Here is a 22,196-nt window from a genome sequence, read left to right as displayed (position 1 = left end):
GGTACCATATCTCACCTGAACAATCAAATGGCCTCATACTTGGTCACCATTTGTTCACTATTGCCTCTTCAATACTCCTCCCTACAGCTGCTGAAGAGACCTTGTTAAACTCTTCATTAGGTCACTTCACTCCTTGCATGTATGAAAAAAATTGTAGAACTTATTGTTTAAAATGATCTTATTTACTTATTTGTATACGTGTTTGTTTGCTGTCCCCGATTACAATGTAAAGGCCTCAAGTCAAGAATGTAATATACTTCATTCACCACTGCATCTCCAGCACCTACAACCATCCCTAGCACATGATTTACATTCAGTATACCTCTCAATAATAAATAAATTAATGTCATTATTTCTTATCATGTAAGGAGATGATATGGCAAGAGTCAGAATACAGATTTATGGTTTGGTTGTTAAGAACAAGTGATGCTGACATCCGTCCATGCACATGGGAAGCTAGTGGATTCTTTTACATTCTAGATGCAGTATAAAGGGTGGATGTTATGGCTGACTGCATTTATCTGCAAGTGGGTAGGCTGGGCCACAATCCTAATACAATCTCTGACCAGGCTAGAGAGAGCTCCTTCTCTTCCTAGAGATCTGTATATGTTCTAGATCTTAAAACTTTTTGCCTTTCTCACTGTTAGAGGAAAGTATTCTTCTACAAGTTCAAATTCCATAGCCATCTGAGGGGAGTTTAGATAGTAATGGAAAGAAATATATCCTGGAACTCCAGGGTAGAAATATCCAAGCCATGTCCAGGCAGCCAAAGGAGATTTTTCAGCATGTGTCTTTTCTGGCAGTCCTTGATAATGGCCAGCCAAGACACTGGGTATGCTATTGCTTAAGCATGTTATTACTTAGTTCTACATGCAAAGTCAAATAAAACTGATGAACTTGGAGGTGTGAGCAAGTCTGCCAAGCTCCGAGTTGCTCCGAGTTGCTTCTTCTCCCTCTGGTATTGAACAGGCCTAGGAAGTGACCATCTCCTTGGAACTGGCTGGATTTAAAAGATGAAGTCAAAACTTGCTTTGTTAAAGTGTGTATTTGAAGATTCTTTATACTGGTGCGTTTTTATCAGGCCTGGGTTGATAGCCTTGGCTCCTATCCTTTCAATGCTATTCCAGTGTTTTCCTGTGTGTGTCTTTACTGAGTATCTACGATATACCAAGTACCTTACTAGGTCCTGGAGAGACAAAAATGAGCTAGACACATTATTAACCTTCAGGGATTCTGCAAACCTGTTGGGGGAGAAACCAATAAATGGAAATCTAAAATATAGGAGACACCAGAGTAAAGTAAGTGCAAGGGCAATGAGAGCAGAGGGAAGTGGACCCTAGTTGGAGGCAGGCATGGAGTGTGAAGTCTAGAACCAAATTGTCTGGGTTTACAATTTGACTCTGCCACTTACAAGCCATGTAACCTTAGACTACTGGCTTAACCTCTGTGCCTCAATTTGCTGTCCTACTAAATGGAATAATGAAAAGAACCTTCCTCATAGGATTACCAAGGGGATTAAAGGAGCATGTAAAGCACTTGAACAGTGCCTAGCACATAAAAAACCAGCTTTTAATATTACCAATAGTACAGTCATATGCGCATAATGAAATTTCAGTCAACTATAGGCTGCATCTGTGGCAGTGGTCCCATAAGACTATAATACCATTGGTACTGACTGAATGTTTTTTAAACAAAACAACCTATTTTAAAGATGATAATACCATGTTTTTACTATACCTTTTCTATGTTTAGATACACAAATAGCATTGTGTTATAGTTGCCTACAGTATTCACAACAGTAACATGCTGTCCAGGTTTATAGCCTAGACACAATAGGCTCTACCATGTAGCCTAGGTGTGTGGTAGGCTGTACCCTCTAGGTTTGTGTAAGTACACCCTACGATATTCACACGATGAAGTCCCCTAACAATTCATTTCTCAGAACGCATCCCCCTCCTTCAGGGACACATAACTATAGTAGTGTATAATTGCCATTTGAATTGAATGAATACTACCTTATTGGCGCTACTGCAGAGAAGTTGTTGCTGAGGCAGTCAAGGATGTTCACACAGGCTTCCCAGAGGTGGTGACTTTTGAACTGAGATGTGAAGACCCACTGATACTGTAGGGAAAGGACATGTTGGGCAGAAAGAACAGAATCCACAAAGGCATAAGGGGGTGTGCATTTTGGGACCTGTCAGTGAGGCGCCTGAGGGAGAGTCCAGGCATGAGGCCACAGGGGCTTTTTAGAGTAGTCTGAGGAGCTTGGCCTTGATCCTAAAACCTAGAGGAAGCCACGGAAGGATTTTCAGCAGGTTCAGGGCTCTCCATAGGAGACTGGGTGGCAGCACTTTGAGTGGCCTCAGCCCTACGGTGTCACTGACCAGCCTCCGTCTCTGTGATTTGGCAGAAAGCTCACATGTGGGGGTCTGATTTTGCTCACTGAGTGTGATTCTTTTGCGGCCTGTGGATTAATAAAGTGAAAAAGATGTGTTTTCTTAATTCTTTTACTTGATTCTTTCTAACTCCCTACCCCTGCTGAGACAGATATAGGGATATCTATCTAAAAGACCCATTTGAGAAATCTTTCAGCATCTGATGAAAGCATTAGGCCCTTCCCTCAGAAAAATCACCAAAAGAAGATTTTCCATGGACCTCACATTAACCTCCCCAGCCACCACCACTTTGGTCATCCAGACAAACCTCCAGACCCGGTGCAGCCTTTTCGACCCCACCTGCTGTGGTTTTTGTGCTCGGATCCCAAATTGTTTTAAATTTAATTTGCTGGTGCATCCAATAACTGTTCCATCTGCCATCACTGCTATTATCTAACCATGTTATCATGAGAGCAGACTTGGATCATTTGATGGTTATAATTAAAACTGAAAGTAATTATCTTATTTTGAGCTGTTCAAATTTAATTGAGAGGGTGGTGGGTAAAAGCATGGACTCTGGAGGCAAACGACTTAGATTTGAATCCCATCCCTGTCACCGTCTCACAGTCTTGTGTAAATAATGTAACCCCTCTGTGCCTCAGTTGCCTCATTACAAAATGAGAATAATATATTTACCTCGTAAAGTTATTGTGACGTTTAATTGGGGTAAGATGGGGGCATGCCAAGAACAGTTCCTGGCACATAGTAAGTGCTATATATAAGTATTTGCTGTCATTATGTCTGATTTCTGTTAAAATGACATCATGAAATGGGACTAATGATAGATGACTGAGAGAAGGAAAATAGGTGAATAAGATCTTCATATGCGTCGGACTTCTTGAAGCCTTACCAATACCTGAAGGCCAAGAATAGGTTCCCTAGACCTGTGCTGTCTAGTATGGTAGCCACTAGCCATGTGTGGCCATGGACTACTTGAAATGTGGCTAGCTCAAGTTGAGACGTACTGAATCTTGAAGATTTGGTCTAAAAAAAGTAAAATATCTTGTTAATGATTTCTGTATTATGTGTTAATAATATTCTAGATAAATTAGGTTAAATTAAATATTAAAATTAATTTCTTTTTTGCTTTTTAAATGTGGCTACTAGAACATTTAACATTATGATTAAATGTATTTTATTATAATTATGTATAGTTATAATTAATATATAATATACATAATTATATATTGTTAATCTATTATTAAATATATTCAATATTATGTTTTAATAGTATGTGGCTTGGGTTATATTTCTATTGAACAACACTACCTTAGGCTCATCATTATCAATTAAGACAAAAATCTGTGTTTATGTATATGATCAGAAAGCCACTGTTAGAAAGTCTTATACACTCCTCCTCTGCCCTTCAAGTTATGTTGGACCACCAGTATTTTAGGTGGTGTCTTAGAGAGGGCCATGGCTGGGCCCTAGCATAAAGAGATTGAGACCAAGGCAAGGGCAACGGCTAGAGAGGCTTCCCCTGACTTGGAGAGGTTTGGAAAAAACACTACCATTTATAGTTACGCTGGCCTCAGACTTTGAACACTCCCCAAAGTAGATGAGAGCATGCTCTCTCTATTCAGGAAGTTAAACTGTGTTGGCAAAAAATGTTCCCTCTTCCATCAGGAGCCAGAAAAAGCTTTTTTCATCTTTAAATACATGAATAAATGCTCAACGTTATGGCAGTCACTTGGGATCGAAAGCACACCCTTTCCAAATGTGATTTACTTATGGAATGTTTATTTAATTCTATTTCAGATTCATTCCACTTAAAACCTGAAAACATTGGACCACACAAAGTCTTACTGGTAAGTTCTTCATTTCTTAAACAAAGTGACTGTTTGACTTTATTTTTGAGATGATATTCACACTTCTAAGTTAGATGCTTCCCTACCAGTGCTATGATGAGATGTCTATTTATTTGTACTTTTCTTTAATCTCTATAATTTATGATGTTTCCATGCCTTAAAAAAACAGAGCAACCCATGTTCCTTTGTAAGACCATGGGCAGGATAAAGATCCATGATTACATGCCAAATACTACTAAAATAAAAACTTTTTTGGGTAATGAAACTATTTCCAGGCCCCTGTTGATGGGAGTATCCAAAACAACAGAGTGTTATTTCAGCCAGGGAATTCAGACAGTTTCTTGTAGTGTGTTGTAATGAAAATTGTCTCACAGCTACAACATAAAACATACTGGGGCTCTACTCTTTATTATTGCTCTATTTTTTTTCTCTCATCTCTCATCTCACCTAAATGTGATTATTGTGAGGTAATAGTTCTGCCATGGTAGAAAACTTCCTTAAGAGCTAGGAAAATAATGTACTTTTTAAAAGTGAGAAAGCTTCCGGGGCTTCATATAGCATCACTCCCTAATATTGTGGCTATACAGTTATTTGCAGTGTGTATCAGTTATATTATGCTGCATAACAAACCACCCCAAAATTTACTGCCAGCATTTTGAGTCAAAATTTACTGGCTCAAAATAACAATCCTTTATTTATCTTGCCATTCTGTGGGTTGGTGATTTGGGCTAGGCTCAGCTACGTGATCCTTCTCCTTTCACCTGGGACTATTCATGTATCTACAGGTAGCTGCAGTTCCATGTCAGCTAGGCTTTGTTTCTGGGGGTCACTGGCTGTCAGGTGGAGAGATAATGATGACTAAGCCATGTATCTCATCATCCTGCAAGTTACCCCAAGTTTGTTCATATGGTGATTGGGCAGGGTTCCAGGAGAGAGCAGAAGCATCTTGACACTGAGACTCAGAATTCACACAACATTGTTTCCAGTACATTCTGATTGTTAAAGCAAGCTATATGGTTAGCCTGGATTCAAGAAATATATGACAGAGGAGCTACAGGGTCCCATTTCAAGGAGCATGGATACAGGGAGGGGAAGAAATGTAGCCATTTTTGGCAATCTGCTATAGTGTTTATGGGGCACATGGAAACAGCTGTGGTGAATGAGAAGAGCATGGAGTGTGAGAGGACTTAGATTCCCATCTTATAGTCCCATTCCTTCACCCCATTCTGACTGCCAGCACTGTCAAATCTTAGTCTTACTTCTAGCCGTCTGGCATCTCAGTCAGTTCAACAAGTTCCTAGGCAGTCTTGCAAATACCAGGTTTTCTACCCTCCAGCCCTCCCTCCATTCTACACAGCACCACTACACTAGTCATTCTTCAGTTTATCTTTCAGGACGTTACTCCTCAAAAACCACCTCCCTCCCTACCTGCCATCCCCTACACCAGCCTAGGCTCTTCTCTAGCTTCTCCACTCATTTTCTGGCCCCATTCTCTCTTGTTCAAGTCCTGCTATTCCCTTTATTCTTGCCAGACAATCTGTTCAGTATCTCTCTTGAAGATATTTCATTCCACTTACCCCTTCTCTACCTGGAAATCCTTCCCATTTTGCAAGACCTACTGGAATTTTCCCTTCTCCATGACATGGCCTTCCTTTCTATTCCTGCCATCTGTGATCTTGCCTGCTCTGACTTCCTTCAAAGCCAAACAGTGCCTTCTTTGGCTCACTCTTTTTCACTTGTTTAGTCTTACCTCCTAGCTCCTACTCACTTCCCAGCTTCTTATTCACTTAGCTCTTTGAGAGCTAAAGGCGATATATGCCTGCCTTGTAGTACTTAGCACAGGGCTGAGGGTACAGCAGGTACTTAATCAACCAAGAAGAAGCATGGGCATTGGACTTGTCCATCCACCAGCAGCTCATCAGAATCACACAAGGCACCTGTTGAAATACAAACTCATACAGTCCCTTCCACTGGGCCATCTATATTCATTAGGTCTGGGGTAGACCCCAGGAACCTTAAAGCACCCCAAATGATTCTTTATTTTTTTGCTTTTACAATATCTTCATGACATTCAAAATTCTGATGATTCTGATGTGATTGCACTCTAGTTGGCAACCACTTGTTATGGGAAGAACAAGAAATTTATACAAAACCTGAGTTTGAGCCTGGCTCTGGAACCTTACTAACTCAGTCTTCCTGAGCCTCAGTTTGCCCATCTATAAAATGAGAAGAATGTTTAACTAGACAATTGCTAGGAAGATCAAAAAAGGCTAATGTGTGTAAAAATACATTATAAATCATAAATATGATTAAAATGGATTAATTGATTGTGGATCTCCAGTCGGCCAGTGTTCCGAAAAGGGCAGTAGCCTGCGTGGTAGAGGTAAAAGGAATAGACAGTGAGTGATCAAATGGTAGTGGTGGGATTAACAATAACAGCAACAATAGTAATAATGAGTAGCTACTGTGTATTGAGCACTGTGTGCCACGTACTGTGCTACCTTACATAGAATTACTTGAGATTTACAAGAAAAAATCTCCTTTTCAATTGCTTTTGTACTACTTTTGTAGTATATTCCACCATTAGTGAATTACTTCTATGGGCTTTTTTTTCCTCTTCAAAATGCCTGGTTAAAATGTACCTGTCCTTGAAAGAGAAAAGACACTATGCTATTATCAACTGTTGACAACATACAGTCAAGCCCAAGGTTCTAGAGAGAGGAGGAAGGCATTTTGATTTGGTGGGAAGAGTTGAGGGAGGGAGAGCAACCAGTAGTACTAAAGAGAGAGTAGGTGTGGATGCTCAGAAATGGCCCAGGGGGAATGGCTGCCCATGGAGAATGGAGCGTAGGGAAGGTGAGCAGGAACACAGGATCCAGGGTGGGGAGAATGAGATATTTGCTGACTTGATGGGTTGGCCCAGGGCTATTCCTGGTTCAAGGCCATCACCCTGTGGCTGCCACTGCATGGCAGCATTTGTAAAACTTTCCTCCACTCACCATCTGGTTTGTTTCCTCTTATGTTAATTACTGTTGATCTGATGTATGTAGCTGTCTTCAAAGATTTTTGAGATGGCCTTTAAACATAGGTGTAAAATAATGCAATTAAGAAAAATAAGTAAGGGAGGAAATCTGTGGGGAAGGAAAAGTGGGGTGAAGTCAGAGATAAAATAAGTCCCCAGTTCATGGGAGAGAGGCTATTCATTTGCTGGCAGTTCCCACAGACTTACCTCTGAGCTTCTGAGCAATCAGTACCAGAAGGAAAACATGCTCCGTTGATGACTTACGGTGGCTGGAAGATAAAAGCACACCAGTTACTTAGAAGAAGCAGGGTTGATCATGATTCAAGACTCAGAGAAATGTCTTCAGAGTACTCATAAAGATAATGCCACACAGAGTGGCCGACAACATCTCTGTAGGTAAAACAATGACGACTGCCTCGGTGCAGGTGAATGATGTGACAGCTGAGTGCAGTCCAAGAGAAACCCTTCTAGGTTCAGGTGTGCATTTCTCTGTTGGTCTTGCTTAGTCCAAGGATGAAATGTAATTGTTTCAGCTGAAATAACAAATAAATATATTCACAACCCTCCTCCCCTCCCCACCTTGTAATGGACTTCAGATTGTCATGACCGTCTTGATGCTGAGCCTTGGCATTTTAGTTGTGGACCAGATTGGGCACGCGAGTTGAAATCTACTTACCATCCCTGTTCTAAAAGAAAAATAACTTCCTGATAGTGCTCTGTGAATGTTATTTCTCTCAACTCTCAAGTCATTCTACACTATGACTCAGTCTGTGTTGTGGTTTTTGATACACAGAATTTACATTGACCCTGCATGATCCTCTTCCCTTGCTCCATGTCTCTCTCCTTCTCTTTTGAGCCCCATGGTTCTAGGTTCATTTCTTATACTGGAACATTCAGTGCCTTTTGGGGGCAGTTTGAGAGGCTCATGAGACTTGACTCCAAGTATTTGATGGTAGCGAACTATAAACTAGGCCACCATTGTCCATTTCTGGGTCCCTCCTCTTCTAATGAGTAACCTTAATATTTATTACAAGAGGAAATATCCAATAGTATAGGGAAGGTGAGCAGGAGTGCAGGATCAAGGGTGGGGAGAATGAGATATTTGCTGACTGGCAGCACTGGTAAGATGAACCATTGGTGCCGAGAATGATAGGGAATAATGTTAAGCCTAGACTTTTTTGCAACAATGTCGTAGGAAGAAAAAGTTTTAATTCATTCAGGATCGTTGTCAGAGAGGAGCCCAGAATTCCACAAGAACTACCCGTGAAGGAGAATTTCCTTTGGGACTTTGTTTTGCTTTGGATCAAGTTTATTAGGAGTATTTTGGTTGCAAGCAACAGAAATATAATTTAAACTAGTCTCTTGACTTATATGATTAGGATGGCCATGCTAGTAAGGGCTTCAGGCACAGCTGTATTCAGGAGTTCCAAAGATATCATCAGGCCATTATCTTTCACTCTGTCTTGACTTTGCTTAGCTCTCTCAGCTTCATTCTCAGACATGCTCTCCCTCACCATGGTGGCAGAGGTAGCTATCAGTACTGGGTTTCTGTCATTCTCACAGCTATGGGTGCCTCTTTTGCCATACTTCTAGCAGTAGTGAGTACCAAGGAGGGACCTTGACCAGCCCAGATTGGATTGCCTGCCTGAATCAGCATGGCCAGAAATATGCAGTAGACAATAAGCAGCATCACTTTGGCTAAGGCCTGTTCATGTGTCCCATGAGAGAGGGTAAATCCCACCAGAATTACACAGAACGGGTTCCCCATGGAAAAAGGAGGGGTAGTGTTACAGCTCTTTTAGAATTTGTCTAGCAGGTTTCCTCTTTTCACTGGAAGACTCCCCACATTATGTAATAAATTTTAAAAATGAAAAAATAATAAAAAGGAGAGGTGTTGGTACCAGAAGGAGGGAAGGAAAGAATGAGAATGCCAAGCAGATAAATTTTCTAGGTACCAGAATCCACTAGTTTAGACATTCTTCATTTGGAGTCTATTAAACTTGAAAGGTTGGAAATTAGATTCTGCACAGTTACATTGACTACCTACTTCAGGTTTGGTGTCATGATCCAGACTACCAATAAGGAACATGTGGAGAGGACAAGGATGGGTAGCACCACTTTGGGATCTGGTGGGCAGCTCTTGGCCTGAGGACCTCATGTTGAATCCCCAGGATCTACAGGAGTAGTTCTTAATCTGGAGACTATGAATAGACTTCAACAGATCTGTGAACTTCTGTCATTATTTGCAAAATTGTACATATGCACTTTTTTTGTTGGAGAAAGGATTATGTTTTCCATCATTATGTCACAGGACTCCATGCCTACCCCCTTCCCTGGGCCCCTCTTGCTTAAAAACCGTTGCTTCAGACTTACTCTAATTGTTTTAGACTTGGCTAGCTTAATCTTACACATTCCTTTCTTGTCTTGGCTCAATTAGTAAAGTGTAGTGTCCATGATAAGCATAGCTCCTTATGGAACAGACACAGTGACATCAGTGGCTGAGCATGTTGCATTAAATTATATGTTGAGGTTTTTAGGCACATATGTAAACTTTCCACAATCATAGTTGCCATTTACCTAATGCCAGGCTCTGTGCTAAGTGCTTTACATGCATTCTCTGAACTCTATATTTATACACATGATTATAATTCTGTGAACCTCAGATCCACCTGCTGGAACCAGCTCCTTCCAGCTGCCTCTCCTGGAACACTGGATACAAATTCTGAGTTTTTCCTGTCGCCTGTGTCTGCTGTGGTGGGTCCACCTCTCTCCACCTTCCCGCCCACAGATGATAGCATCATAAAATCAGAGTGTTGTACAGGACCCATAAGATCATGCTCGTCAGTGGCTTTCAAACTCTGCTTTTTGGTTTTCTAGCTCAGGGACTCGCGAGGAGGAAGGATGGATAGGACCCAAGTCCCTTTCCTGCTTCAGTCGCAAAAGTTTTGCTGAAAACCACTCATCCGGGACAATACAAGAGCTCACAGATAGATGTCAGGCTTGAGGTTGAATACAGGTTCCTACTACTTTACTTACTTACCTGCGTGACCCTGGGCAAGTTGCCTAACTTCTCTGAGCCACAGTTTTCTTATCTGTCAAATATCCGCCTCAAGGAGTTGTTAGAGGGACTGAATGAGGTAGTGTCTGTGAAGTCCATGGCCCAGTGCCTGGCACTTAGTCAGGACTTAGCAAAGGTTAACTGTATGTAACTAATATATTGTACAATGTGACTCACCAGTCATAGTTAAGACTCAGCTTCATTCTTGTCTCCCACTGTTCATTTAAAGTTTATTCAGGGAGGTATGTTGTACCCTATTTCCTGATAATAACTTGATCAGGCCCATGACTTTTCTGGTTACTTTTCTGGTAATGAGAAGTTCTAAGGCCACTTGAAGTCAGCCTGCCTCTCTCTCTCTCTCTCTGTATCTCTGTCTCTCACTCACTCTCTCTCAGCACGCACACACACATGCACACAGGTTCATTTTGGAAATTTGAAATGCCCTTTTTGGTCTATAAACAGTCAGTATTCATTCCAAGGGAGGACTTCCCTCCATCCAGCCACCAAGGGCCACTTCCCCCTCCAGTGGCCTCCAGCTGCCCACTGCTCAGGTCTCTCCAGGTTGTGGGGTCAGGGGGAGTGTGCAGCAAGTCGTTACCTGACTGTGACTGTCACATCTGATGCTAAGTTATCTGAGCCTGGCAGACAGGGAAAGGGGACTTTTTTCTCTCCTGGCTGCCTCCATGGCCTTCTCCAGGACTCCTCTGAGGGGCCTTGCTCTGGGCCCCCCGGGATTTGGGTGGTTCTCTCCTCCTGCTGCTGTTGCCATCCCTCAGCATCTTCTGGTTTCCAGTCGGACTCTCTTTGGGGTCCTCTCACTCTCATGCCAAAGCCCTCTCGGGGAGAACCTGTTGCAAAGACACCCAGGCTGCCACTCTGGGTGTCCAGGGTTCATATTCCTTTCACCCTCCCCTCCACCATGGGGCAAGGGGACAGTACTCACTTTCTGATGTGGCATCCACCCTGCTGGTTTAGCCAGCGTCAGCTCCCTCTCACATTTTGGTTCCTGAGGGAGATGCATATCAAACTCACCACATACAGCTTTTGAAACCCTTTTCTCTGGGCTGGAGAAGAAAGGCTGAGCCCTCTCCATTCCACCCACCTTGGAAACCGTAGGAATCAGAGCATTACCAAAGAATCTTACTCACAGAATCCTCCATTGCTTTCCACCGTCCTGACCTGTTTGTGTCCTCCTTCTGGGTCTTAGAGCCATCTTCTTAGAAATTTCTGCATAATGATCAGATCCCTTGCTTTGGAATTTCCCATCTGTTACATCTTGAGGTGGTGGAAACCTTCACTTTCGCATCTTAACCTCAGACCCAGTGTGAGACACTTCCCTTCTTTTAACACTCTAAAAGTGGTCCTTCATCTGGTGAGGAGCTTCCTACCTCCATCTCCCCTCCTTCCCTCCCATATCATCCCATTCAGATTTTCAGCTAAGTTGGAGTTGTTGGAAAGATGCTGCTCCCTCTGAGCCAAACCTAGCTTCCTGTGACGTTCTTTCTCTCTAATGGGATCTCAGGAGAGAGAGAGAGTGAGAGTGAGTGTGAGTGTGAGTGTGTGTGTGCGTGCCTTGTCTGGGAGAATTGGACATTGGAAAAATGGGAAATGTTTGGGAAAATTGGAATTCTTTCCTGGGCCTCAGAGATTCCAAAGCGAAGCTTAGACACCCTGTTATCTAAGCCCACAGGGAAACTTTTGACCTGTGTATCTGGGTGGGTTTCCTCTACCTGCATACCAACGTGCACCTGTATAACTCCAGCAGAAAGCTAGTATTTGGAAACTGTGCTCATGCCATTTCTCATGCTCATGACCCTAACATAGTTTCTCTTGATCTGAGAACGTATTTGCTGTGCTTCATGGAAGCATTTTGATCAGGGCTCCATGCAGAGTTTATGAACTCTGCAAATTCAAGCCTTGCAGAATGTATCCTACCTCCCTCCAAAGACCCACCCTCACTTATGTAGGTTTTCTTTCATGCTCATGTGACATTTGGAGTCAGCATATTTCTCTGCCTTCTCTGGCGCCAGCACTGTGAACTCAGCCTCCCTGCCAACGTGCCCTCCTTTTTCATGTGTGGTTGGACCACTGTGATGTTGGGTCCTGTAACAATTAGGTCACTCGCTGAGTATAGACCCCCCAACCCATGGTGAAGCCAGCGTCTCAAATGAGCAAGTGACACATGCTGGGAAGATGCTTGGGTCAGCTAAAGTTGGAGTCTCTCTGGGTGCAGTGGCCTAAGAATGTATTAAATGCATTTTGGGTAGTTCCATCATGTACTAGTCTCTTGGCAAGACTGAACATTATATATCCAGATGTGGACCTGATTTATGTCCTCATTTTTACTGGCTGCTTACAAAGATGGCAAGATACAGCTCCCTCCTTTCCTCCCCCAGACCCATCATATGAGGTGATATTAGAGACAGAAGCTCAGATAGCAGAACTCAACTCCCCTGGGACTGTTCATCTATATTCTCTTGGCCTAAAAGCATATGGTGATTTGCACTGGCCATTCAAAGATCTAGATATATATTTGAAATAACTAACAGGCTCTTAGCTAAAGCATACTTTTTATATGTATACATTTTATAGTAGGGAAGTGGCTTAGTGTGGGCAGATAGACTAGAGTTCAAACTTTCCTTATCTATTGAGACACTTTGAACATGGTTACGGTTAACCTTTCTGAGTCTCAGTTTCCTCATCTGTTAAATGGGCATCATATCATTTGCCTCACAAGATAGCTATATTAAAGGAAACACTGCACATAGTGAACTTAGCCAGTGGCCCATCACATAATACATGTTCAATAAATGGTAGCTATTACATTGTTTGCATTTAACTATTATGATGATTTCTAAAAACCTTTAAAGCCTTGGAAAAAACTAGCCCCATTCCTCAGCCTGTTTTTTTTTAATCAAATAGGAATTTGGGAAAAAATCTAAATATGTGCAATGATCTGCTTTTAAAAAATAACTATCTTGTGAAACTCACTAGTTCTTTATAGTATCAAAAGTGATTTTTGGCTGCTGAGGCAGCATGGCACAGGGACTAACAATAAGGCTCAACCTGCCCAGCCTCAAATCTATACAAAATACCTTTGTAACCTTGGACAAGTCGCTTACCTCTTAAAGCCTCAATTTCTGCATCAATAAAATAGGGATAATACTGCATAGGGTTATTGAGGTGATTAAGTGAAATAGTCTATATGAAATGTTTAGACTATGTGTGGTTCACAGGATGCAAATAATGGTGGCTGTTATTTTCCCAGCACATTCCGTTTTACAAATAAGAATTTGCAGAAGACCAAGCACAGTGGCATGTGCCTATAGTCCCAGCTCATTGGTAGGCTGAAGCCAAGGATTCCCTTGAGCCTAAGAATTCGAGTCCAGCCTCCGCAACGTAGCAAGAGCCCATCTCCAAAAAAAGCTTTTAAATCAAATTTGCAGAACACTGTTTTTTGTGATAAATGGATTTTATGAAGACATTTCTATATGTAAGAAGTTGTTCTTACTGTTTTGTTCAAAAAGAAGAAAATTTATATCTGGTTTGCTTATAAATTCCAAACTGTAGCACATGTGAAAACAAGCTACATCAACTAAACTTAACTTTCTATTTTTTTAGGCCTTGCCTCATTTTATTGTTAAGATTTAGGTAAGTGATATTGCCATCAGATAAGGAGAAAATTGTGTATTATTTTTACAAGGACTGAAAATATGCAAACAAACTATGTTTAGATAAATGCTCTCAATTGAGGTCACTTTATTTTGCTGTCTTTCAGTAAAGACTAGTATAGTTGGCACCTTTGTGCAGCCCAAGGAGGTCTGGAAGGAGGGTTGCATAACCTTCCCATGGGTGGAAAAGGAGGAGGAGGCAGAGTCTGAACTAGTGAGATGACCCAAACTGGTTACTGAGACTTGGTCAGGTAGGTGTGGAGAGCTGACCCGTGGCAGAGGAGTTTGTTCCCTTTCACAGGGCAGCGCAAGTGTTTCTTTCAATAGCTCCACCTCGGTATCTGTCTCCAGGCAATGGACAGTCCTAAGCGGGAGGAGCTCAGGCCCTGTCGTGCTGAACCCCTGTCAGTCTCATTAGAGATGGCACCATGTTCAAGAGGCCAAGAAGAGACCCAGAGCCAGCACACGTGACATGGGGTTTTACTGCAGGGGAGAGTCCAGTGGTGGCAGGCTGGACAAGATAACTGCATGGCCCAGCAGTTAAAGAGCCCTAAGGTTCAGGATCTTTCACTGGCAACATCCCATTCCAATGCCCTGTAGCTAATGTGATATTCCTAATTTTGTATGATTTTTCTAAAGAGGACCCCCAAAATTGTATAAGGCTTAGAACCCACAAAAACGATCTATCCATGGGTCAGGGACACACACACTCTGAGCCTTCTGCCTTGTATGGTTGCTAGGGTGCTAAAACTCACATTTGATTCTCCCTTGGGAATAGGCATTGCCTGTGTATGCCCCTTCTGTAGCTAGACCTGCATTCCCTAAGAGGACACCTAACCCTTTCCGTGAGGGGGAAGCGAGGCCCAGCGAGGAACTGCTGTCCAGGCATCTTCCTGACCACCAGATGCCATCCTCAGGGTAGAAAGGGCCCCGTTTGTGCAGGAAGGGAGGGCAGGCACTCAGACCTCCAGCAGCTTGCTTTGTGGTTTCTCAGAGGGAGGCCCTACAGAGGAGACCGGGTGGGAGGGAGCCCCGTGTGAGGCTTCACCTGGCTTCAGAATTTCCCCAGTGGAAAATTCTCCTGGAAAAAAAAAAAAAAAACACCAACATATATTCTTGAAAGTGTATCATCTTTGGCAAAACCATAGCTGTGATCTCAAGTTTGAGGAGAATGAGCTGGCCGGCCTTCAGGGTTGTGCTGATTAAGCCCTGCTTATGCTCCGCCGTAATCACATTCCCTCCCTCTTACTGTGCCGAAGGGCTGGGCTGCTTTGCTCATCAGCCGAAGTGAAATGTATTGAGAAGAAGCAGGAGCGCGGAAAGACCCCTTTGTATGTGAATATCTTTCTAGCACTGTGCGAAAATCAGGGTTTGAAAATAATTTCCCCTTTCGGTGAAATGCGAGCCAACTTCGCCCCCTAGAGGAGGACCAGAGAATTGTTTAAAATGAGCCCTCAAGGGCATTTTTATTGTTCTGATTGATAATTTGGAAAGATTGTCAGCCTGTAATTAGGTGGGACTTTGAAAGGGGCTTGTCTATGAGGGCATTGTTTAGGGGTGTGTGTGTGTGTGTGTGTGTGTGTGTGTGTGTGTGTGTGTGCGTGTGTGCCTTGTTTTGTTTGAGTTTTTGCCTTGAGATATTATTGTAAACTTAGGGTTGAATACTCTTATAGCTATAAAGAATAAAATGGTTTAAATGCCACCAGGCTTAAGGCTCACAGCTGTTACATTTATAGTGGACTTTTTTTTGGCCAGATTTTCACCACTACGTCTAGTTACAACAAATCATTGTTAGTCTTGAGTTTCCTTTCACTCCTTGGGGTTGTGGCAGACGTAAAGCCCACTAGAAAGCAGGAATTTTCAACCACAAACTGGATATGTATTAGAGATCCTAAATTATAGACTTTAGCTATGTCACCCACATTGAAATCTTTTTGATTTAGTCCTGCTAGTTTATTCGCATCGTTTCATTTACACCTGCTACTAACAACTGCCAGATTCAGTCACAGGTTGACTAGGTAGTAGTTATTTCACTACTGCTTCCTATACTTTTTGTGTATTTTTAAAAGAAAAATGCAAAACAGGCAGAAGAATAAGGGTTGAAATATACAAACCTTTCTATGTATTTCATCTTCTGTTAAAATATGATCTTGTTCTAACACCTTTGTTAAGCGTTTGTTGATTATTCAGCTGCTTTTAATTACCAAATCTGACCCAATTACTTAGCTTCTAATGTGTTCCCTTTATAAACAAAGCCTTTATAATAAAAATCTTATCTACCATCTTTTGTCTGTAGGTAAATATGTTTATCATCTTCATTGTTCTAGATCTTCATCCCTCAAGTGCAATATACAATCATAGTGTTTATATTAGTAATAATTTTAATGTTTTTTTTCTTTCTCTGCTCTTAGAAACACTGAACTGTACTTCAGTATTTGATGGCATGGCATTGTTAAGAGATCGTTACTCGTGCATCAGCTTAATCGCCTACTGGGGGCTGTTTCCCTTAGAAGGATGTGAAAAGAAAAGAGTGTGCATACATTTTATAGATTATTATAAGTTATTTTTTCAGTGCTTGACAGGGGCATCTAATGACTATTGATAATATTCTTATATATTTTGTCTACTTTAATTTTTATGTATTCTTATATATTTTGTCTAATTTTTCATCTCATGCAAGGAAATAATTTTTTGACAATATAATCTGTTGCTTTTTGACCCAAGTGTTTGGAAACTAATTGCCTGAAATACCAAACAGGCTTTGTTTGGAGAAAGACGGATATATTTTTCCCAGGTCTAGTTCCTGGACGATTCCTCTGTGTTCTTGCTACTTGACTCACTCTGACAAAGTCCAGAGGTGATAGTGAGCCCTGGGGAGCTGCAGTTTCTGCTAGACCAGAGTAACTCCAAAGCACAAGCAGATTGATTGTTTTTGCATGAACACCCATCTTCCTTGCTTGTGGCCATAGCCACCACCCCGGTTATTGAAGGAGAACACACACACATATACACACACGCATATACACACAGCTGTTAGTACCTTTCTGTCTTCTTGGACATCTGTTCCCTTTCCACTGTTGAAAGTGGCCATTAATCTAGTGTTGAGACAGTCTCATTCATTAATGGTCCCTCAAAGTCAGGTAATTGCAATGCTGAGCAACATCAGGATGGTATCTAAGTTCCCTCTAATTTCAGAGCATTTTCAGGCTTTCATTATTATTCACAAATTATAATACGCTGAAGTTTAGACTCTGCTGACTAGGACAGACAGAGGAGAAGGGTAGGCTTTGGAAGTGGGTACTTGGGATAGGTCAGAATAAGGGTTCGTATTTTTAGTAAGAGCAATGTTTTGGAGACATTTTGATAGAATTTTATGGTAAATGCCAAGAGATGCCCCACCTCTTTCTCCTGGTCCCCCAGCTGCAGCTCACTGGCTCATTTGTCTTTCTCTACGCACCAGACTATTCCCTGTCTACCTGGAGCACTGCCTCCAGGTACTCATTGTTGCACCAGCCTGTGTATTTCATATCCCTTACCACAATCCATATTTTCTTGTTTATTTCTTTACTTGAGACCTTGATCTCACACCTAAACTACTGGCCCAGAATATACACTCAGTATTTACTGAGTGAATGTGAAGGAGTGAACGAATGAGAAAGCAAACAAACAAAGGAATATATTCAGAGGCATGACAGGAGCAATGCCGTTTATAACCACAATTTAAGGTGAAAGCCACTAAAACAGCAGTGCAATACTAGCATGTCAGTGCTCAAGGCTTGTTAGCCTGACATGGAGTTCACACTCCATCCTTTGTTAGACTGCAAATTGACAGAGCTTCTTAGACAAAAGTTGTTAATATAGTAACAATCTTAACATATTCTTTTAAATGGATAAATTATTAATATAAAAATTAATGGTGGAAAGCCAATCAGTAATTCATAGGGTGGGAGGGGGGTGGATTTGGAATTATAGCAAAATTATAAAAACAACCTAAAATTCTCTAATAAGGACATGCTTGTGTAAAATGGAATTTGTAGTCCCAGCTACCCTGGAGGCTGAGGCAGGAGGGTTGTTTGAGCCCAGGAGTTTGAGGCTGTAGAGCTATGTGATTGCACCACTGCACTCTAACTTGGGTGACAGAGTGAGACCCTGTCTCTTACCAAAAAAAAAAAAAGTGATGGATATTTATTTCTGTGGTATCCCTACCAAACGTGCATAACCTGCATCGAATCAGGAAAAAACATGTGCAAACCCAAATTGAGGGACATTCCACAAAATAACCAGCACTTACTCTTAAATATTAATAACATTAAAAACCAAGACATACTCAGGAAGCATGCCAGAGTCAAGAAGACTAAAGAGACATGACAGTTGAACATAATGTATAATTTTGTATTTTCTTTTCCTGTAAAGGACATTATTGGGATAATCACCAAAATCTGAATAAGGTTGTAGATCAGATAATAGTAAAATATCAGAGTTAATTTCCTGATTTGACTAATTGGTGTGGTTATATATGAGAATTCCTTATTCTTATTCATAGGAAGTATACACTGAAATATTTAGGAGTAAAACTTCATATTGATTCTCTCTCTCTCTCTCTCTCTCTCTCTCTCCTGGGAGGGTAGGGTGTTAAATATAGTAAAATGTTTACATTTGAGGAACCCAAATCTGGGTGCTTTGCGACTATTCTCTAAGTCTGAACTTATATCAAAATAAAAGTTAAAACATGATGCTTATAAAGACTTTATAATCACATAGGGAAATGCTTTTGCTAGAACGGAGCAAAATATAAAGTTGTGCAGCAGAGTATAATTTAGACTACCTTAAAAACTCAATCTGATCAAGGTTTCCTTTGATTTTTTAAAAAAGGAAGAACAAAAACTCCCAAGAAAATATTAGAAGGAAATATAACAGCATGTTAACTTTTACCTTCTGTTCACTTTAATTATATTTTACAAATTTTTCACTAAATTGCATGTATTTTGTGAAAAATTAGGGGAAAAAAATTAGGGAAAAAAACTTTAAAAAGAGATAAACGCTAATGCTCAAAAATCTGAGTGAATCTTACTCTGCGTCTTTACCACCACATACCCCATTCCAGTAGAAGGATGCCATATATGTATGTATGCATGTAGAAGGTATATATGTACATAAATACATACTCTTTTAAACTTTTCTCTTGTTTTTCTTTACTTTTTGTATTATTTTCCCTCAAAATAATTTCTTGTATTTTGAGGGAAATCCTGTATTGGGCAGGATTATAAATGAGATGACCTCTTAAGCCTCTTCTAGCCTTACAGTTCCTTGCCTTCCTTTCCAGCTCTTTGGGAATCAGCACCTCCTCAATCCAGAGGCTGTGCTAGCTAGGTACTGAGTACGTAAGGATGGTTAAGCCACCCCACTTCATCTTTTAGAGATGTTTCAAGTCCATGGGGTAGGCAGATAAACAAGTCAGTGATTACAATCTTGTGTTAGGTACTGGGCAAATGTGGCAGTTCCTACTGTGGACAGCCTTGGGTTGGGGGCGGTGGTGGTGGTCAGGCAAAAGAAGGTATTGATCTGTAGCCCTAGAAAGTTCAGTGAGAGCTTGCCATTTGGAAAAGCTAGCAGAGCATTCTAGGCTAAACATTGCAGCATATCTAATGTATGTTCTCACCAAGACCCACTGGAGTATCATTCTGGAGGCCCTGAACAAAGAGGCCAGAGTCTTACAAGACCTGGGAAGCTCTAGGTCCCACTGGGTCTGCTTTCCTGGGTGTGGGAGAGAGTGGTCTGACTGCAGGTGGCAGGAGTTGCTTTCTTTGGTCCTGGAGTGGAGCCGTGATTAAACTCAATGTCCCCATTTCCCATTTGCAGGATCACTGAGAGAGTTTTCCTGATTGCCCCTGCCTCTCTCCCTGCACCCTCCCTCACCCGACAGAAAGCGGATGGTGTGCACATACCCTCAGGGAGGGTAAGGGACTAAGGGTTAACGGGAATACCTCGTTGGAGAGTTTGCCGATCTCGGATATACCCTGCTGAACTGTTGGAAATGTGTTTTATTTATTTGGAATCATAAAACCAAAGAGCCAAGTCGACCTGCACTTGACCTTGCAGGCTTTGTAGATACTTCTAGGGACCCAGAATTACCCCAAAGCAATGTTGTTATTGAACAAGATGCCCCCTGTTTCCCTAGACAGTAACTCATCATTGAACCATTTGCCTGGACCCATTATCCATTCCCTTCATGAGAGCCTGAGGACACCAATACATAAGGTTTAAATCCACCATTCAACAAAATCAGACAGAACAGAGATTCAGGATGCTACAGCTGAGTGAGGTTGGAAGCCTCTCTGTTTATCTTGGAAATCTTTTAAACTATTTTAGAGCATGATTTTTCACTCAGTTATTATTTGTATCTTAAAGCTGTCTCATAGGTTGTGAAGAAGATTGCCTGAACTGAGAAATTCAGGGCGTGGCACAGAGTAAGCATTCAATAACTTCCAGCTGTTATTCATAAATATTGACCAGCACAGTGTATAGAGAGGGAACACTAGACTCTTGGTCAGGAAAACCGACCAAGGTCTAATCCCAGCTTTACCCCAGAATCCTAGAAGTGAAGGGAAACTGATCTGGAAAGAGGTCTTAGAAATCTTCCAGTATCTAGCACAACTTTATTTCAGAAACTTAGACCTAGAAAGGCATAGGAGCCCTGTTTGTTACCCACAACTTAAATGTTCTCCTGCACATTTTCAAAGCAAGAATAATAATCGCACCCCCATTATAGGATTGTTTCAAGTCAAGGATGAAGCGAGTTGGTGTACATGAAACTCTTGAAGCAGAGTCCTTAATACATATTAGCTGGTATTGTTATTGTGGATTCTCTGTTTATCTTCCCCTCCTATTTGACTGCAAGGATCGAGACGTGTCCTCCTTGCTTACTGTCATGTCCCCGGCATCTGGCACAGTGCCTTACTCAGGAGGTGCCCAGTCAATGTTTGTTGAATAACTGAAGAAAGTATCTTGCTGAGGATCAAATTTAGGCCAAGTCTGAATCAGAATACGAGTTCTAACACTAAGGTTCAGTATTTCCACACAGTTCTACATTAGCTTTGACTTTAGGCAAGTCGCTTCATTTCTCTGTGCCTTGGTTTCTTTGCCTTGAACACGATCCATCAGGTTTTTCCTGGTCATGAGCAACGTGTGTCTTAAAGCTAAAGACACACATCACCCGTCCATCAGCCTTTTCGGGCAACCCATGTTTGTGCTCCACTGGCCACTAGGTGTCGTGGTTGGTCAAATATCAGAGAAAGCAAAAAATAAATAAAAATAAAAATAAATTGAACTGATTGACCTACCAACCTACCAAATGATGGGAGTGAGCTTATACAGTTATTGGAAGCTAGTTACCTCTGGATGAGTTGGCTGAGTTGCCTTGGAAACTCAGGGAGTTGCCCAGGATTTGCATGCGTGGACTTTGAAGCAAAGCATAGATTAGAGCCCACAGCTGTACTCACACCAGCTAGCACCTTGGACTCACTGGAACGTCACAGGGCCTTGGTTTCAGTAATGTAATGCATGTAACATGCTCAGCACTTCGCCACAGTGAAGGAAGAGCACTACAAAGTTAGTGGTTATGAGGGCTACTTCTGGTATTTGATACTGTAAAATGCTGCTTTTCTGTTCCTTGCCACGCCAACTGCTAAAGCTTTGAAGGCTTTCTGCCTTGCTCCCTGCTTTACAAAGCCAAATTTTTAAATAGCCCCTTAAACAGTAGAGTGGACAGGGTATCAGTATCAGGTTAAAAGGGCAGCCTAGAATATTTGGAGGGACACCAGAACTCCTTGGAATGTCACTGTGGAGCTTAGTCAACACAAAGCAGAGTGTTTTATACATGACTGGGACCCAGAGTGGAGGGAAGTGAGTGAGCATTGTTGAAAAATGGCCTTCACTGAAATTGCTCAAGTAAGGGTTTTCTTTGTTACATGGACTGTCATTTAGATCTAGGTGCCTTCTTTTTAAAATAATTTGGGGAAGCTTCTAGGAATAACAATGACTAGTATTTATTGCACACTTACTATGTATAAGGTATTATACAAAACATCATACTTGCATGATTTCATTTAACTCTCACAGCAACTCTTTGAGGTACATATAGTTCTTATGTCCATTTTGTAGATGAGGAAATTGAGGTGCACCAAGATTATAATAATTACAGCC

General features: G+C 41.5%; 1 protein-coding gene, 1 long non-coding RNA gene and 1 pseudogene across 5 annotated transcripts in view; 2 read left to right on the top strand and 1 right to left on the bottom strand.

Moving 5' to 3' along the window:
• Positions 1-22,196, top strand: part of GNG12 (G protein subunit gamma 12) — a 131,993-nt gene that overhangs the window by 51,767 nt on the left and 58,030 nt on the right. For 3 of the 4 annotated variants that reach the window (NM_018841.6, XM_047425406.1, XM_017001809.3), the window contains exon 2: positions 4,194-4,243. The gene's annotated coding sequence lies outside the window, so the exon portion shown is untranslated. Of the gene's footprint in view, positions 1-4,193; positions 4,244-13,944; positions 13,975-22,196 lie in introns of all 4 variants that reach the window. The other variant, XM_047425415.1, reaches the window with a different exon arrangement.
• LOC105378781 (uncharacterized) overlaps positions 1-22,196 on the bottom strand; it is a 28,722-nt gene that overhangs the window by 1,769 nt on the left and 4,757 nt on the right. Inside the window, exons 2-3 of the long non-coding RNA XR_007066163.1 lie at positions 7,473-7,534; positions 2,016-2,122 (exon numbers count right to left, since the gene is read on the bottom strand). This is a non-coding gene — a long non-coding RNA (uncharacterized LOC105378781). The remainder of the gene's footprint in view (positions 1-2,015; positions 2,123-7,472; positions 7,535-22,196) is intronic.
• On the top strand, positions 9,049-9,101 carry RNU7-80P (RNA, U7 small nuclear 80 pseudogene; annotated as a pseudogene).

The sequence above is a fragment of the Homo sapiens genome, chromosome 1 (assembly GCF_000001405.40).
Source record: "Homo sapiens chromosome 1, GRCh38.p14 Primary Assembly".
Classification (NCBI taxonomy): Eukaryota; Metazoa; Chordata; class Mammalia; order Primates; family Hominidae; genus Homo; species Homo sapiens.
Note: the sequence above shows the minus strand (reverse complement) of the source record. Positions and strands in the feature narration are given on the sequence as shown.